Source organism: Homo sapiens, chromosome 11 (assembly GCF_000001405.40).
Source record: "Homo sapiens chromosome 11, GRCh38.p14 Primary Assembly".
NCBI classification, from domain to species: Eukaryota; Metazoa; Chordata; class Mammalia; order Primates; family Hominidae; genus Homo; species Homo sapiens.
Window position 1 is genome coordinate 75,940,799 of NC_000011.10, and position 19,843 is coordinate 75,960,641.

General features: G+C 36.5%; 1 protein-coding gene across 10 annotated transcripts in view, besides 1 other annotated feature; it reads left to right on the plus strand.

Moving 5' to 3' along the window:
* Window positions 1–19,843, plus strand: part of UVRAG (UV radiation resistance associated) — a 329,023-nt gene that overhangs the window by 125,589 nt on the left and 183,591 nt on the right. The window contains exon 1 of one of the 10 annotated variants that reach the window (XM_047427522.1): window positions 13,153–13,209. The exons of the other annotated variants lie outside the window; for them this stretch is intronic. The gene's annotated coding sequence lies outside the window, so the exon portion shown is untranslated. Of the gene's footprint in view, window positions 1–13,152; window positions 13,210–19,843 lie in introns of those variants that run through there. 10 annotated transcript variants of the gene reach the window in all.
* Window positions 5,734–5,833: an enhancer, noted in NCBI's record as "active region_5282". NCBI's record gives its function as "activates an Ori minimal core promoter by ATAC-STARR-seq in GM12878 lymphoblastoid cells {active_cell/tissue: GM12878}" and the evidence as "EXISTENCE:reporter gene assay evidence [ECO:0000049][PMID:35858748]".

The window sequence follows — 19,843 nt, forward strand, 5'->3', positions numbered from 1 at the left end:
GTTAATGGTTAATAAGCCACTGAGCTGGGATTTGAACCATCACTGGCACCACAGCCTACCTTCCTAACCACTACACTATGCTAACTACTATATTTATAAAAGTCAAATGTATCAAATTGCCTGATGTATTTCCACAAGTAGACATCATTAATTGTGAAAATTCTGCCTTCAAAAAAAGTCCTTTGACATTACTACTAAATTATCTGTCATTCTGAACTGTTTGTTACCATTCTGCAAAAAAAAAAATGAGGCAGTTTTGCCAAAATGTTTTCAGCAATATCCTTAATAAGCACATTGTTGAGTTCAGCTGACATTTTGTAAGCAAGATTTTCTCAGTGAAGGAAGTAGTCATTCATTGACTTACACTCAAGAGCAAACTGCATAAAAATGCCCTTCTCACTTTGCTTTTATGAGCTACCCAAAGTCTGTGTAAACCCAAGAATATAGATGAAACCAACTGTTTCTGTTCAGATTTTTGTTGTTGTCTCTACTTCTCCATATCTTTATTATTAATTTCCCTGGAAATTAGAACTTTTCTAAAACTGTAAGATATTTAAAAATCTTAAAATGTGTTTTCCTTTCTAAAAAGCCTTCTTTAAAGTTACTCATTACTACAGGTTGAGCATCCCTTAGCCAAAATGCTTGGGACTAGAAGTTTCTCAGGTTTTTTTGTTTGTTTCTTTTTGGAATATTTGCATTATACTTACTGGTTGAGCGTCTGAAATCCCAAATGCTCCAGTGAGCATTTCCTTTGAAGGAAATGTTGATCCACTTGTTTATGCTCAAAAAGTTTTGAATTTTGGAGCATTTTTGAATTTTGGATTTTCAGGCTAGGGATGGTCAACCTGTATCACCATATCTGACATTCCCCCCTGCAACCTGATATTATTTCCTTTGGTGCAGAGTTTCAGAATCAAATTAAGGAAATGTCATGTTTCCACAGATGAGTTCTCTGAAAAACTTCCTCTTACAGTGAAAGTCATAGTCCAGGAGAACTTTAGATGTGGAACTTCAGGGCCAGGTGGAAGGCCATTATGAACTCTTGCATTGGCTCTCTTATGATCATAAGCCTGAAAGTACAGAATCCTGGAAAAGGAGGCCTCTCTCTGCACCCATGTAATTTTTAAAAAGGAGAGAAAGATATGAAGGGTGCTAAAGCTTGATCCTAAAAGATCAGGGCAATGAAAACAAATGATAATGAATAACTAGTACTAGAATTAAAAATGTAAGGCATTTTAAAGAGATGGGGTGCCAGTTATAATTCAGTTTTGAATACTACATTGCAAAAGAACTATTTTTGAAAATAGTTAAGGGAAAAAATATCTGAATTGTTGAATAAGTTCCCCCTATTTATTCCTGGTAAACTTCAATCCCATCTTACTGCTTCATTCTAAGTTCTTGTGGAGTGTGAATATCAGCAATTTTCTGACCTTCAAAGAGGAACTTGAATAATTTCATTGGAACTCTGTGCGTTTTTTGATAGTATGATTCTTTGAGTTTCTTGGGATGTGTTGTCATTTTTACCTTGCAGTGAACCTCACTATTGTCCTGTCTAATGACTTTGAATAAAATATATATTTTTTCTTTCTTGTCCCTGAAGTCCATGGTGGAAGCTTTTGCCTCTTGTTTAGACATGATGGTGGTGGCTTTTCTTTCGGATCTCCACAAACAGCAGATTCACAGCGGGAGAGTCTTTCTCTCTGAGACTTACAAATCCATGTTTTTTCTTCACAGCTCAACACCACTGCTTTCTGTTAAGATGTAAACAAGTCTAATAATTTCTTTTTCAAATGCCGTTCTGATGAAAACCTGAGTAGTTAAAAAATACTATTTAAATTACAATTTAAAAATTGTACAATTATTAAGTGTACATTAAACACTTGCTAAGTGTACAGCTGTTTATCAGACACAATACAGGAGGGGATACAAAGGAAGAAGACAAGAAGCGAATTGTCTAGTTGAATAAGATTTAGCTTGTGGAAGAATTAGTGTCAAGATAAATGTATTCAAGTGCTGAACTTCATGGTACATATGCTTACTGAATAAAGCAGCATGAAAGGTCCTTTGTATCCTTAGTTTATGAGCCTTAAAACAGATTTAGAAAAAGGAAAAGCCAACTAGACACAGTGGTGTGCACCTATAGTCCCAGCTACTCGGGAGGCTGAGACAGGAGGCTCACTTGAGCCCAGGAGTTTGAGGTTACAGTGAGCTATGATCATACCACTGCACTCCAATCTGGGTGACAGAGCGAGATCCTGTCTCTAAAAAATAAAATAAAAAAAGTCCCACCTCCCAATACTATGGCAATTAATTTCAACATGAGTTTGGGAGGGTACAAATATTTATACTATAGCACCTATAAAATCATCATGGCCTACACCCTCCCACCCCCACTTTGGTAGCGTTTTTAGTTTCTTTGTAGTTATCGATCTATTCAGGTTTTCAACCTCTTATTGAGACAATTTGGTAATTTATAGTTTGATAGAAAATCATTCACTTTTCCTGTTTTTTTTTTTTTTTAAATTTATTGGCCTAAAGTTGTATATAATATTCCTTTTAAATTGTAAAAATCTTGTCCATATCTGTAGTTTGTTTTGTTTATTGTTTCTAATTCTGAAGTGCTTTTCTGTATACTTCCTCAAGTGTGTTTATTGTGTAATGAATACATTTTAAATTAAACTTACTAAAATGCACATGGATAGTATTATGAAAAAATTTGGAATGATTTAGCTTGCTTTTATGCCAAATGTGGTTCTTCTTGCCTGAAATGAGTTAGTTGAGATGTAAATTGGAAATGCGAAGAGTTGATTATTGTTCTATAACTGTCGCTTCATCAGTGTTGTTAGTTTTTGAGGGTATGCATATCCTGGTTAGACTTGATGCACTAATTATCACATGCTTTCACACCACCTACCATCTCCTCAATAGAACTTTCCCACCCACGATGCTATTTACTTTTCCATGAAAGTAGGTTAATTTTATAAGTATTTATAAGCAATAGTATTGTCTTATTTGATGCCATTACCATGAGATTGTGTTCTTCCCAACTATGTGCATGGTCTAGACAGAGGAATGTAGAAGCAGGCTTTTGGGTAGACTCCTGGTCTTTTGGGAAACTATCATATTTAATAAATCCATCAACGAGTATTTGAGTGATTCCCATGTGCCTTAGACTGCTGTAGGTGCTGTAGAGGTGCAGAGAATTTATTAGGCATTTAAAGTCTATAGCACTGTAGCTCTGATCAACCTTTCCAGCCTGCCTCTCATGATATTGCTCTTGTGCCCTCTTTGTTTTATAGCACACAACCCACTTTCTGTTCTGAACGTGTAATGCACTCTGCTTCCTTAATGACTTTGAAAAGCTATTCCCAATACCCTAAACAGCAGTTCCCTTGCATACAGCTGTCAGAGTCTTAGCTACCCTTCCTTCATATTGGAGCTTAAATGCTGTCTCCTTTAATGAGCCTTTCCCAAGAACAAGTTATCTTAGACTAATGTATCCATTTTGCAAGGGTACTTAGATTTGTAGATACAGATAACTTCAATAATGTGTTTGATAAGGTATGTCAGGATAGCTTTGGGAGCAAGATGAAGAGGTGTAAGCTAAATGACAGAAAAGATAGGTCGACTGGTAACTACTTGATGACTTGCTATCTAGAGGGAAATTTTTAAATGCATGGCATAGGGCTCTGCTATTGACCTAGTCTTTTTCAACATGTCCATTCATTTGATTACTTACCTGCCAAATGTTTATTCAGTACTGCATGCTGGAAACTATGCAATATGCTGGGTATACAGTGGTGATCAAGGGAGACATGGTTTTTCCTCTTGAGAATACCACAATCTAAGCCTTTGAACAAAGATATAGAAAATTGACTAAGTTAATGCAGTGGTAACGTGGAACTTATAGAGACAGTGATTATTGCGTAACGGAATTAGTAAATAAGATCTCTGGGGACTGGAAAGATAGAATTATATTCAGCTCATCTTAAATTTTAAGATAGAGTTTAATTGTGAAAAGAATATAGTCTTATACTTGAGTCCTAAAACCAACTGTATCAGAAGAGGGAGGCTTGGCATATGGGCAACAGTCTGAGTAAAAAAAGATACAGAACCTTTAGTCAGTAGTCAAGTCAATATCAATAATCAGTGAGATATTACTGCCAGAAAATGTTGGGTTATTAAATTGATAGACATGTAGTGTCTACAATGAGAAATGATCAGTCTTTTCTGGTTTACAAACATTAAACAATGTTCTCAAGGCAGTTTCCCAGGAGTTTTTCTACGCTTGATATACATCTAAAAAAATAAATTAATTATCACTGAATAAATATTGCATAGCATCTGAGAAAAATAGAATCAGAGAAATCTTAAAATAATCATTTTTAATTCCGTGGGTGTCTGTTGTGCTTTGGGGGGTTAAGAGAAGGGTGAGATGTGCCCCTCTGTATTTCTGAGGAAGGAAAGGGAGTAATCTTTATTACAGTCTGTTACTGAAGGCCTCTATATACAAAGTACTACGGGGAAGCTCAGGAGCACAGACACTACCAAGTTATAGGCCTAGGTTTTCAAGGAGTGTGGAATCCACTGCTGGAGAAAGCCGGAAAACAAATGATTATAGATGATATGAAGTCTAGATGGAGCATGCTCCCAGTGCTGTTGAGGGAGACCACAACCCTTACCAAATATTGACTATTCCTGGGCTCCTACTTGAGTTCTTCCTCTTCCAAAATGAATTTGTGGGTCTGTTTTGTACCTACAGGTGCCTGGTCTTTTTGCATTGCAGCCTACATACATGACATCTCGTGGTCAGGCCTCCAAATGACTTATTTATTTGCCTTGAGAGTAAAGCTCCTTATCCTAATATACCAGGTTTTCATAATCTGACCTCTGCCTGCCTTTTTACCTCATCTCTTGCCATCCTCTCCCATATGACCCTGTGCTCCAGCCTTGCTAAGCTGCTTACAGTTCCTGAAAATGTTAGGGTACCTTTTTTTTGTTTTTGTACTTGTTTTTGCTTTTGTCTGGAATATCTTTCTCCCTTTTTATCTAGCTAATTCCTACTTTTCCTTCAAATGTTGGCTCAGTGTTTACCCCCTCCAAGAAGACTTTTGCTTCCACTTGACCCCGTCCCTAGAATAGATGCTCCTTTTTTATGTTCAGCCCTTACCCGATGCATGCCTGTGTTGTAGCCTGTATAATGCTGTTATGATTGTTTACAAACCAAGTTGTCTACAAAGTTTGAGCATTATGAAGATAATGCTCTGATCTCTGTATTTTTATTACTTAACAGAGGGCATGGTGAACATTTAGGCCTTCAATAAATGTTTATTGCATGAATATGTAAATAAATGGTATATTTTTAGAGAGCACAGACTGTCTGCAATGTTTTTTCTCTTAACACTAGACTCAGTATTAGCAACATAGAAAGTGCTCAATGTGAAGACAGGATGAATGAATAAATTTAAAGATACGTTAACATGATCAGATAAGGAATTAGGCTAAAGATTTATAATGTGCAGGTGTTATTTTGACTAATGTGATAATGTGCTCAGTAAATGGAATCATGAAGAGATGGCTGTGAAAGAAGGATAATTAATATTTGGATTGAAAGAATGTATTAGTTTTTGATTGCTGGATAATAAATTACCACAAATTTAGTGGCTTAAAATAATACCTGTTTTATTGTTTCTCGGTTTCTTCTTTAGGCCGGAAATTTGGGAACAGCTGACTTGGTTCTCTGCTTATGGTCTCATGAGGCTGAAATCAGTGTCAGCTGCGCTGTGTTCTTTTCTGGAGCTCAGGGTCCTTGTTTAAGCTCCCATGGTTTTTGGCAGAGTTCACTTCCTTGTGGTTTATAGGACTCAGCCTCTTGTTCTCTTGCTGATAGTGGTCTGAGGGCTGCTGTCAGCCCCATTGAGGCCACCTGCAGTTTCTTGCCATGTGGCCCACTTTATAGGCCCTCTCATGCTTCAAATCTCTTCTTTCAGGAAGGGCCAGTCCCTTTTAAGGGCTTACCTGGTTAGAGCAGACCTACCGTCTGTATTAGTCAGCTTAGACTGCCATAACAAAATACCAGTCTGGGTGGTTTTAACAACAGACATTTATTTTCTCAGAGATCTGAAGGCTGGAACTCTGAGATCAAGGTGCCAGCATGGTTCAGTTTCTGGCGAGGCTCTCTCCCTAGCATACAGATGGCCACCTGCCTGTTGTGACTTCACATAGCCTTTCCTTCTTGCATGCGTGTGGAGAGGGAGAGATCTTTTTCTCTTCCTGTTCTTTTGAGGCCACCCTATGACCTCATCAACTTTAATTACCTCCTGAAAGTCTTGTTTCCAAATATAGTCACATTAAGGGTTAGGATACTTCAACATGAATTTGGGGCGGGGGATGAAGGGATACAGTTCAGCCTATAGCACCCAGCTAATCTCCCTTTTGGTTAACTCAAAGTGAACTGATACGTGACCTTAATTATAGCCCCTCAATTCCTTCACCTTGTAAAGTAACATTTCTGGGAGTAATATCCTATGGTGTTTATAAGTCCTGCTAATAACCAAGAGAAGGGGATTATGCAGAGAATGGGAATCTTGGGGTGACATTTTAGAATTCTGCCTACCCCAAAGATAGTGGGATAAAATGCAGCAGCAGATTTAGTTGAGATACGAGTTATATTATGAATAGAATCGTAGAATAATGGAAGAGAAAAGCACACAGCAACCTGATATATAAGGGGAGGAATACTGAGCTTGGACACATATATTTGGAAGGTTTAACCTAAATAATGTGTCTGTGAAAAAGCACTTTGGAAACTAAAATTATTTAACATGTAAGGTGTTACTGATGCCAAGGTTTGTGGGGAGATGATGACAAGATTAGCTTAGGAACGATGGGTTTGTGGGTGGGAAATAAGCAGTGAAGACCACGGGCTTTGGAGTTAAACAAACCTGGGTTTAAATAGTGATTCTGCCACTTACCAGCTTCAGTTTTCTCACAGGTAGAACGGGAATGATTACGTCTATGGATTTTTGTGAGAATTAAATGAAATATCCATTTCAAGTTTTTAGCTTAGTGCCTGGCACATAGCCAGCACTAAATAAATATGTATTCATTCACCAACGAATTATTAAATAAATATATTCTATGTGCCAGGCACTGTATTAGGCCTCAGGTTTCTGGTAAATATTAATACTATTGTGCCTGAGCTAGATTTCATTGGACTTTGAATTGCCAGGCTAAAACAACAGAGTTTAAATGTTTATTTAAATCGCCCTGAGCTGTTTTCAAGCAAAGAATAACATCTAATATTAGCTTTTTAGAATTTGTGATTATTTGGTGCTAGTACATGGTGGTTTTTTTCTTTTGTATAAAGAGCTCAAATTTGCCTGTAGTCATTCTAATTATTGATACACTAAGACTTAAAAGATCTCCATACCTCTTACATCATTGTTTTGATTTTTTGAAGGACGCTATTGAAATCTGTGTTTTAGGAGAGCATTCTCATGGCAGTGTTCCAAATGGATTGAAAAGGGCAGAGATTAAAAAGGAAGGCCTTTTATTAACGCAGAACCAGGGTGCTTACAGTGGGAATGATGAAAAGGAAATTATGCGGATAAGAGCATTGGGAAAGAAGAATCAATAGGTTTAGGTGATTGAACACAGGAAGTATGAGTGAGGGAAAAGGCAGCACTAATATAATGTGATGTCAGTTCTGGAGCACTGCAGTGATTCATGACTATCATGGAGCGGATTTATTTGATAAAATTTATTTGAATAGGTGGATTTATTTGAATAGAATTCTTTAAAAAATGGAAAATTCATTTAGTGTAGAAAAATGTAGATCACGCCTTTTTAGACACCAGAAAAATCCTTTTATCATCGATGGAAGATGTTATCAACATGACTAGAAGTACATATATGTTAATTACCCATAGATACATAATGAAAGGAACTGTGTAGGCAACCACACACTAGCTATTAGAGGGCCTAGAGTATCTAAAAGGTTAGTGTCCATCAGAGAAGAAGAAAGATAAAGTGGTGAGGTACTAGATGCATTAGCACGAATCTTTGAAATTGTAAGTTTATGGATTGTGATATTTCTAGTTGTCTCTAAGGAAATATAATTTTAGATGTGTATAAGGCAGGCGTTCTGGATGCTGTTGGGGAAGATAAACTACAATTAGTAACCGAGCAAATGAAGAACAGGGATTCTTTGGTACTAAGAACAGAATAGAATTGAGAAGAATAAGAGTTGAAGCTAAGAAACCAGTTAGGGGCTATTGGCTAGGTGGCAGTCTATCTGGGGTGAGGTGAACGGATTTGAAATGGCTTTAATTAAGTCGTTGCTGCTAAATATGTAGAAACTGTCTAGGCCTTAGGTTGCTTGATTTTTGTGACAGTGGTCATTCCTCCCTTGATGGGCTGTTCCTTTAACTGCTGTCATACCAGCTCTCCCAGCTGTCCTTCTGCTTCTCCCTGGATATTCTGGTTCACAATTTTTTGCAGGACTTTTTTCCCCCCTAATTTCTTAAGTATTGATATTCCTCTGGATTCTGTTCTAGGTTCTGTTTACTCTCATTCTCGCAGTCTTCAGGGTGATCTCATTCACTTTCATAGCGTTCATAACCATCTGTGTGCTAATGACTGCCACATTTTTATCTCTGGCCAAGATCTGTCTCCTGAGCAACAGATCTTTATATTCAACTCATATTCAACACATCCTCTTGGATGTTACACAGGCACCTCCAACTGAAAATAGAACTTTCTTCTCAAACTGTTGCTGCCGTGTTCTACATCGCAGTAAATAGCATCACCATTTTTTCTGGTTCCCCAAGCCATATACCAGCAAACATTCTTTTCTTTTTCTTTGGCAGTGTAATTTATATACAATAAAATACATATATATATATATATATATATACACACACACACACACATATACACATATATATATACACACATATGTATACATATATACACATATATATACACACACACACATATACACACAGTTTGATGAATTTTAATAAATATACACACCTGTATTGCCATTGTTAAATCAAGGTATAGAGTATTTTCATTATCCAGAATGTTCCCTCATTTGCCAGAGTTCTGACACCCTCATTCCCATCCCTGGGACACTTTTCTTACTGCCTTATCATTTATTAGCTTTCCCTGTTTTTGAACTTCTTATAAGTGGAGTCATACGGGGCACTCTTTTGGTTTCTGGCTTCTTTTGTTTAACATACAATTTTTGGAATTTATCCATGTTCTTGTATAGATTAGCAGTGTATTCCTTTTTACTGGTGAAGCAGTATTTCCTTCTATGAATATATTACAGTTTGCTTATTCATTATTCTGTTGATGGATATTTGGATTGTTTCTACTTTTTGGCTATTATAAATAAAGCCGATAGGAACACCTTACACAAGTTTTTTGTGGTCATGTGCTTTCTCCTATTTATTTATTTATTTGATATTTTAGAGACAGGGACTCATTCTGTCACCAGGCTCGGAGTGCAGTAGTGCAGTCATAGCTCACTGTAACCTCAAGCTCCTGAACTCAAGGGATTCTCCCTTCAGCCTCCCACGTAGCTGGGAATGGGTGCGCACTACCATGCTTGGCTAATTTAATTTTTTTAGCGACAGCGTCTTGCTGTGTTGCTGGGGGCTGATCTCAAACTCCTGATGTCAAGTGATTTCTCCCATCTCAGCTTCCCAAAGTGTTGGGATTACAGGCATGAGCCACCGCACCCAGCCCACATTATACCTGAGAGTGAAACTGTTGGCTTATACGAGAGGTGTATATTTAACTTATTAGGTATTGCCACACAGGTTTCCAAAGTAGTTATACATTTTTACAGTCCCTCCAGCAATGTTTGAAAAGTTCCAGTTGCTCTACCTCTTGCCATCATTTGGTATTGCCAGTTTTGTAAGTTCTAGCCATTATAATAGGCTTGTAGTAGTGTATCATTTTGATTTTGATTTTTACTTTTATAATGACTAAAGTTATGAGCACCATTTCATGTGCTAATAGCTCATTCTTGTATCTTATTTTTTGAAGTGTTTGTTCAAATATTTTGCCTATTCTCAATTATTGGGTTGTTTATATTTTTATTTTTATGTAGGAATTCTTTGTGTATTTTGGATAGAAGTCCTTTGTCAGGTGTACACACACACACACACACACACACACACACACACACACACATATCCCAAGTGTTTTTTTCTCAGTCATGACTTGATTTTTTTTCATTTCCTCAATAATGCCCTTAGGACTAATTTTTGCCTAGTCAGAGTTTTTGCATATATTTTCCTATGTGTTATTCCAGAGGCACTGTAGTCTTAGCTTTTACATTTAGGTCCCTAATCCATCTCAAATTAATCTGTGTGTATGAGGTGAGGTACAGGTTAAGGTTCATTTATTTCCTATATACGTATTAAGTTATTTCACTGCCATTTGTTGACAAAGTTTTTCTTTTCCTTATTAAAAAATTGAGTATGTATGAATGATTCTTTCTATAATCTGAAATGTGTGTGTGTGTGTGTGTGTGTGTGTGTGTGTGTATATATTTTTTGTTTGTTTGTTTGTTTGTTTGTTTTTTTGAGATGGAGTTTCGCTCTTGTTGCCTAGGCTGGAGTACAATGGTGCGATCTCAGCTCACCACAACCTCTGCCTCCCAGGTTCAAGCAATTCTTCTGCCTCAGCCTCCCAAGTAGCTGGGATTACAGGCATGTGCCATCACGCCTGGCTAATTTTGTATTTTTAGTAGACACAGTGTTTCTCAATGTTAGTCAGGCTGGTCTCGAACTCCCAGCCTCAGGTGATCTGCCCACCTCGGCCTCTCAAAGTTCTGGGATTACAGGCGTGAACCACCGCACCCAGCCCTAAATTATATTTCATTGATCTGTTTGTTTAGTTCTGTGTAACTACTGCTGCCTTACTTACTGTAGCTTTATGATAGGTCATAAAATCTAGTAGTGTAAGCCCTCCAGCTATTTCCCGCCCCCAACATTTTCTTGGTGTTCTAGGTCTTTTGTATTTGCATATCAATTTTAAAAGCAGTTTGCCAATTTCTATTAAACAAAAATCTTTTGGGTTTTTGATTGGGATTGCTTTGGCTCTAGATCAATTTAGGGAGACTTGACTGCTTAATAATATCGTATCTTCCAATCCATGAAATGATATATGTCTCCATTTATTTAAATATTCTTTAATATCTCAGCGGTGTTTTATGGTTTTCAGTGTACAGGTCTTTCACATCTTTCTTTAGATTTATTCCTAGTTATTTATTGATATTAAATAGAAACACTGATTGATTTTTAATATATTAATTTAAACTCTTGCAATTTGCCGAATTTACTCATTAGTTCTAGTAGTTGGATTGTAGATTTCTTTGGATTTTTCTACATACACAATCATAGCACCTTTAAGTAGATTTGCTTCTTCCTTTCCTATACCTATGGCTTTTATTTACTTTTAAAATGCATTATTACAATGGTTTGGACCTTGAGTATATGTGGAATAGAGTGATGAAAGTGGGTATCTTTGCCTTGTTTTTGATTGTAAGTATAGGATTAGCTGTAGATTTTTTTCTATAAACCTTTTATCAGATTGAGGAAGCTCCCCTTTCCTCCTAGTTTGTTGAGGGTTTTTTTTTTATTTTTAACCATTAACAGGTATTAAATTTTATCAAATGCTTCTTTTTTTGAATCTTTTAAGATAATTATGATCTTTTTTCTTCATTCTGTCATTGATTGATTTTCAAATATTATACCAACCTTGTATAGTATTTGAAAATCAGTCAGTTTAACAGAATGGTATAACCTACTCAGATAAACCCACTTGATCCAGTTGCTTTATCCTTTTCATATATTACTAGAGTTGATTTGCTAACATTTTATTAATGGTTTTTGCATTTATGTTCATGTATAATAATTGGTCTATAATTTTTTTTTCCTATAGTGTTCGTGTCATGTTTTGGTATCAGGGTCATGTTGACCTCATGAAACAAACTGAAAGCATCCCTTCTTCTTCTTGGAAAGATTTTTGATGCTACTGGCATTTTACCGGTGAAGCTATCTGAGCCTAGAGTTTCCTATGTGAGAAAATTTTTAATTGCAAATATAATTTATTTAACAGATGGTGGTTCTTTAGATTTTCTGTTTCTTTTGTTTGTTTTGGAAATTTGTGGATTTTAAACAATTTGACTATTTCATTTAAGTTGAATTTATTGGCATACAGTTGCTCATAATTTCTCCTTAATTCCTTTTAACTATGTGAAGGATCTGTAGTGATGTCTTCTCTTTCATTTTTATGCTGGTAATTTGTTTTCAAGCATCATTCTTTATCTCTCTTCTCTCTCACTTTTCACATTTACACCATCTTTCCTGTCACTATTTTAATTTAGGACAGAGCCATTTGTTACTTGGACTGTTGGAATAACCTCACACTAACCTTCCTGTTTGCAGTCTCTTTTCTCTGTGTGCCATTCACCTATTACAAGAAGAAATATCTTTCTAAAGTGCAAATGTAATTAAATCTTTCCCAGCTTAAAACTTTTTAATGGTTTTCTGATGCCTTCAGAATAAAAATCTAAGCACCTTCATATGAAATACAAAACCATTAATTATAAGGTATTGATTTGTTTCATAGACATCTGTCTTTCCTGTATTTCTTCTCCCTTTTTATCTCTCTCTGCAAGCCGTAGGGAACTATACTTCACTGCCTTTGTAGGTATTCTAATTTGTCATTCTTTGTCTTAAACTTGAATGCAGGGTTTCTGATGTCATATGATCAATATTATCTTCTAACTTCTCCTTCAGTGAGATTATTTTTAATATCTCATTGGCTTCATCTCAGTTAATCTTTATTAATAATTTACTTGACATAATTTTTTTTATTCAATGTATCTTTACGTTCACAGAAATATATAGCCTCAAAGCACTTTAGTCCAGTTTCAGTTTATCTCAAATCATGTTAAAAAATAGGAATGCATCTCTTTCCTATCACCAGAATACCTATCGGATAGCTATTTGATCTCTCCTTCCCAACACCAGTGACGATAAGTTTTATTTCAGCTTGAGGATGTTAGTGTTGATATTGACCACTCACCCATATTACTACATGATATATATTTCTTTCTTTATAGATTCTTTTGATAGTTTGCAAAATCAAGAAACATTACTCTGAAATTGGCCAACCAGTTTGGAGGTAAAGCAGTTGTTTCTTTTTTAGTTAGTCCTTCACCTCTTTATCCCCAGGGGAATCAGGATGTCCCATGTTATTTTTCAAAGTCTAAATACTTCAAACTTTTATTCTCCTGTTGGGTTTGAAAGGGGGGTGTTATTAGCTCTGTCTTGATGCAGCAGGGGCTCTGAAAGTCTATTTGGATAACACTGAAGATTGGAGGAAATGTGACTCTGTCTGTGTGTTTTAAGCCCCTAAGGTAAGATCAGAAAGCGTCTGGGGCAGTGAGAGCCAAATAGTTGAAGTCATACATTAATTATGGTCATGAATCATTTTTATTTTTAAAGTCTTTACCATTTGACAAGGTTGTTTGCATAGTACCAGTGAAGTTTTAGGCGGCCCTTTCCTACTTTTAAAGTAACAGGCTATTTTGTTGATTTCTTCTCTGGGTTGATGATGCCTATCATTTTTAGAATTCTGATAACATTTTTAGTAAAAATTGCTGTTTCCTCACTTGAATGAGTGGTCTCTATGTGATTTTTATTTTGATACACTATTTTGAAGTTACAAATCTAGGAAACTACCACACTGATCTTCCAATTAATCTCCCACTGATGTCAAAAATGTCAAATTTTGGGACTGTGCTTTTATGTTCAGACATTAGGCATTAAGCCAGCAAATACATTTTGAGTCCCTCCTTTGTGCCACATTCTGTGCTTAGCATTTGGAATACACCTTAGAAGATGAAATTTATTTTTCCCCCAGAAAGATCTGGTGAAATAGGCAAAGAAATAAACAGTTGCTGTAAAATAGGGTCATGTAATATTTTTGTGGTGCCATACACATGAAGTAGCAGATTTCCAGAGGAAGGAGCACCTCTACCTGTCCGTAATAGTCAGGAAAGGCTTTTGAAGAAGAGGTTGCTTGAGCTGCCTCTTGATGGATTAGGAGTTTATTTATCTGTTAAGGGATGGGAAGAACTTGTAGGCACATAGAACAACTCACACAGGGGTACAGAAGGAATAAATTATAAGGATATGTTTGGAGAGTTGCCAGTAGTTTAGTATTGCTAGAGAAGATGGTGCAAGGTAAAAAATAATCAGGAATGAGACTGGATGTGTCAGCAGGGTCTACATCACAAAGGGCCTTACCTTGATGTAAAATTACTTTAGAGCTGTCTTTTTAAGAGAGTATTACTGTCAATGTAGATTAAACACACAAACACACCCAGACCAAGAGGCAACAGGATGGAGTATAATCTCCTCTATTGGATTCCTTAGGAGCCCTGAGGGATTTGTTGAATTACTGGTCCCATGAACAAAATAGCTGTATTGAGAGTTGGTCCTTTTTATGTGACCTAAGAAATCATCAATAAATATCAGGCAATTTCTAAAAGTAAAGAATATATCATGAATATTTTCAGGGTTTAGGGTAATAATAATAATGTTGGCAGAGGTAGTGATATCATCAAATGCCTAAGAAAATGAACCTCTCATATATATGATGACTTTCAGGTTAGGATTGATGACCACCTTTTAAAAACCGAGGTAAAATTCACACACAGTGAAATGCACAGATCTTAAGTGTAAAATCTGTGAGTTTTGGTGTACTCCTTACCCTAATCAAGACATCAAAGCCAGGTGCAGTGGCTCACTCTTGTAATCCCAACACTGTGGGAGGCTGAGGCGGAAGGATGGCTTGAGGCCAGGAGTTTGAGATAAGCCTGGGCATAGCGAGACTCTGTCTCTACAAAAAATTAGTCGGACCCAGTTGCACGCTCCTGTAGTCCAGCTACTCAGAAGGCTGAGGCAGGAAGATCCCTTAAGTCCAGGAATTTGAGGGGGCAGTGAGTTATGGTCATGCCAGTGCACTCCAACCTAGGTGACAAAGTGAGACCACCATCTAGAAAAATAAAGACTTAGAACATTTCCATCACCTCAGATAGTTCCTTTGTTCCCTCTTCTCCCTATGTTAGTCCCCACCACTCTTTTGATTTGTCACCATAGGTTGGTTTTACCTGTTCTTGAACTTTGTAAAAAGGGAATCATACAATATGGACTTTTCTGTTTCTGGCTTTTTTCACTCAACATATTGTTTTTGAGATCCATTCATATTGTTGTATGTACCAGTGGTGTGTTCCTTTTTATTGCTAAGTAGATTTTCATTATATGAATATACCTCAATCTGTTGATTCTTCTATTTGATAGACATTTGGGTTGTTTTCTATGAACATTCTTATACAAAGCTTCTTGTAGACATACGTTTTTTATTTTTCTTGGGTAAATACCTAGGAGTAGAATTGCTGGGTCATAGGTTAAATATATGTTTAACTTAATAACTAATAATTTCTAAAAAATGGCACTATTATTTATTAGGCTGGTGCAAAAGTAATTGCAATTCTTGCCTTTTTTTTTTTTTTTTGAGATGGAATCTTGCTCTGTCGCCAGGCTGGAGTGCAATGGCACGATCTCAGCTCACTGCAACTTCTGCTTCCCGGGTTCAAGCGATTCCCTTGCCTCAGCCTCCCAAGTAGCTGGGACTACGGGCGTATGCCACCATGCCTGGCTAACTTTTTGTATTTTAGTAGAGACGGGGTTTCACCATGTTGGCCAGGATGGTCTTGATCTCCTGATCTCGTGGGTTCTTGCAATTTAAATTTAAATTTAAAATAATTGCAAGAACTGTAGTTACTTTTGCACCAGCCTGATATATTTTTGCCAGCAATGCATGCAAGTTTTAGCTGTTCCACATCCTTGCCAGCATTTAGTGTTGTCATTTTAATTTTATTTATTCTAACAGGTGTGAAATGGCACCTCATTATGATTTTAATATGCGTTTCCCTGATGACTAAGACTTTGAGTGACTTTTCCTGTGCTTATTGGCCATTCTTATATCTTCTTTTGTGAAGTGTTCATTTCATTCTGTTGTCCATTTTTAATTGGCTGTCTTGATTACTGATTTATAAGACTTCTTTATAGTCAGATAGGTGCTTTGCAAATATTTCCTCCCAGTCTATGGACTGTTTTTTTTTTTAAATTTTCCTAATGGGAGCTTTGTTAAGATTAACAGGTATTTCTCATTTTTTTAAAGTCTAATTTATTCCTTTTTAATTTTATGATTAATTCTTTTTATGTCTTCTCTAGTGAATATTTGTCTACCCCAAGTTTGCAGGAGATAGTCCTACATTTTTGGTCATAAGTGTTATGATTTCAGCTTTTTATATTTACTGTGATCCTCTTTAAATTAATTTTTGTGTGTATGAAGTAGGGGATGAGATTGATTTTTTTTCTATGCTTATTCAGTGTTCCATAGCACCTTTGTTTAAAAAACTTTGTTTTCTGCACTGATTTGCCTTCATTCCTTTGTCAAAAATTAATTTGCTATATATGTGTAGGATTATTATGATACACTTTCTTCTGTTCCATTGATCTTTGTTTTTTTTTTTATCTCCATGACCACACCATATTGTCTTAATTATGTAACTTAATAGAAACTCTTGAAATCTGGCATATTTCAAGATTGGTTTGTCCCTTCTAGATTCTTTGCTTTTCTCTATAAATTACAGTATCATCTTACTAATTTCTGTCAAAAAAAAATCCTTTGGGACCGTGATTAGGAGTCTCAAGCTATTTACCCATTTGGGAAAAGCTGACAACTTAACAATATAGAATCTTCCAGTCCATGTACATGTATTTTTTACTTACTAGTTCTTCTTTATTGTAGCAGTGTTTTGTGACTTCAGGGTTGAGTCTTGCACATCTTTTGTTTATTTCATCCCTAAGTATTTTATGTTTTTTGATGCTGTCATTAAAGTATTATTTAAAAATTTCATAACTCAATTGTTTGGGGCTAATACAGGAATACCTTGGAGATACTGAGGATTTGGTTCCAGGCTACCCCAATAAAGCAAATATTGCAATAAAGCAGTAAATCAAATATTTCAATAAAGCGAGTCACATGAACTTTTTGGTTTCCCAGTGCGTATAAAAGTTATGTTTACACTATGCTGTAGTCTATTAAGTGTGAAATAGCATTATGTCTAAAAACAATGTACATACCTTAATTAAAACATACTTCATTGCTAAAAAATGCTAACGATCATCTGAACCTTCAGCAAGCCATATCTTTTTGCTGGTGGAGGGTCTTGCCTCCATGTCAGTGGCTGCTGACTGATCAGATTGGTGGTTACTGCAGGTTGGAGTGATTGTGACAATTTCTTAAAATAAGACAACATGAAGTTTGACATATCAGTTGACTCTTCTTTCGTGAATGATTCTCTGTATCATGCGATGCTGTTTGATAGCATTTTACCCAGAGTAGAACTTCTTTCAAAATTGGAGTCCGTCCTTCCCCTCAAACCCTGCCACTGTTTTATCAACTAAGTTTATGATGGCGTAAATTTTTTGTTGTCATTTCAACAGTGTTTATAGCTTCTTCACCAGGAGTAGATTCTATCTCAAAAAACCACTTTTCTTGATTAACTGTAAAAAGTAACTCCTCATCCAGTCAAGTTTGATCATGAGATCACAGCAATTCAGTCACATCTTCAGGCTCCTCTTATAATTCTAATTCTCTTGCTATTAAAACCATGTCTGCAGTTACTTCCTCCACTGAAGTCTCGAACCCCTCAAAGTCATCCATGAGGGTTGGAATCAGCTTCTTCCAAAGTCCTGTTAATGTTGATATTTTTATCTACTCCCATGAATCATGAATGTTCTGAATGGCATTCAGAATGGCGAATCCTTTCCAGAATGTTTTCCATTGATTTTGCCCAGATCCACCAGAAGAATCAATTATCTGTGGCAACTCTAGGCTTATGAAATGTATTTCTTAAATAATAAAACTTGAAAGTTGAAATGCCTCCTTCATCCATGGGCTACAGAATGGATAATGTGTTAGCAGACATGAAAACATTAATCTCCTTGTACATGCCCATCAGCACTCTTGGGTGACCAGGTTCATTGCCAATGAACAATAATATTTTGAAAGAAATCTTTTTTCTAAGCAGTAGGTCTCAAGAGTCCTAAAATATTCATAAAACCATGCTGTAAACAGATACATTGTCATCCAGGCTTTGATGTACCATTTATAGAACACAGGCAGAGTAGATTTAGCATAATTCTTAAGGGCCCCAGGGTCTTCAGAGTTGCAAATGAGCATTAGCTTCAACTTAAAATCAGCAGCTGCATTAACCCCTAGTAAAAGAGTCAGTCTGTCCTTTGAAGCTTTGAAGCCAGGCATTGACTTCTCCTCTCTAGCTATGAAAGTCCTAGGTGGCATCTTATTTCAACAGAAGGCTGTTTCATCTATGTTGAAAATCTGTTGTTTAGTATAACCACCTTCATTGATGATCTTAGCTAGAGCTACTGAGTAACTTATTGCAGCTTCTCCATTAGCACTTCCTGCTTCACCTTGCATGTCTATGTTCTAGAGGTGGCTTCTTTCCTTAAACCTCATAAACCAATCTCTGCTGTCTTCCAACTTTTCTTCTGCAGCTTCCTTACCTCTCTCAGCCTTCAAAGATTTGAAGAGAGTTAGGTCCTTACTCTGGATTAGGCTTTGGGTTAAGAGAAGGTTGTGGCTGGTTTGATCTTGCATCCAGACCAGTAAAACTCTTTCCGCATCAGCAATAAGGCTGTTTTACTTTCTTATCATTCGTGTGTTCACTGGAGTAGCACTTTTAATTTCCTTCAAGAACTTTTCCTTTGCATTCACAACTTGGCTGACTGTTTCATGCAAGAGGCCTAGTTTTTGGCTTATCTTGGCTTTTCACCTGCCTTCCTCAGTAAGCTTTGTCATTTCTAGCTTTTGATTTAAAGTGAGAGACATAGGACTATTCTTTTCACTTGAACACCTAGAGGTTACTGTAAGGCTTGGCCTAATTTCATTATTGTTGTGTCTCAGGGAATATGGAGGCCCAAGGAGAGGAAGAGAGACTGGGAATGGCCAGTCAGTAGAGCAGTCAGAACACAAAACATTTATCGATAAAGTTCACTATCTTATACGGGTACAGCTCGTGGTGCTCCAAAATAACTATAATAGCAACACCAAAGATCTCTGATCACAGGTCACCATAACAGATATAATAATAATGATAAAGTTTGAGATATTGTGAGAATTACCAAAATGTGACAGAGAGACATGAAGTGACCACATGCTGGTGGAAAAATGGCTCCAGTAGACTTGATTGACTCAGGGTTGCCACAAACCTTCAATTTGTTTTTTTTTTTTTGTTTCTTTTTTTTAAATATCTATGAAGCACAATAAAGCAAAATGCAGTAAAGTGAGGTATGCCTACATACAGAAATATAATTGATTTTTTTGTGTATATTGACCTTATATCCCATGACCTTGCTAAATTAACTTATTAATTTTAGTATTTGTTTTGTAGATTTCTGATCATTTTCCACATGACAATTATGTCATCTGCAAATAAAGACAGTTTGACCATTTGGTATGGAAATGTATAAGAAATACATGAGCTATATTTAAAGATAAAGAGGCCAGGTGCAGTGGCATAGGGCTGTAATCCTAGTACTTTGAGAGGCCGAGGCGGGCACATTGCTTGAACACAGGAGTTTGAGACCAGTCTGGGCAACATGGTGAAACCTCGTCTCTGCAAAAAATACAAAAATTAGCCAGGCATGGTGGTGCATGC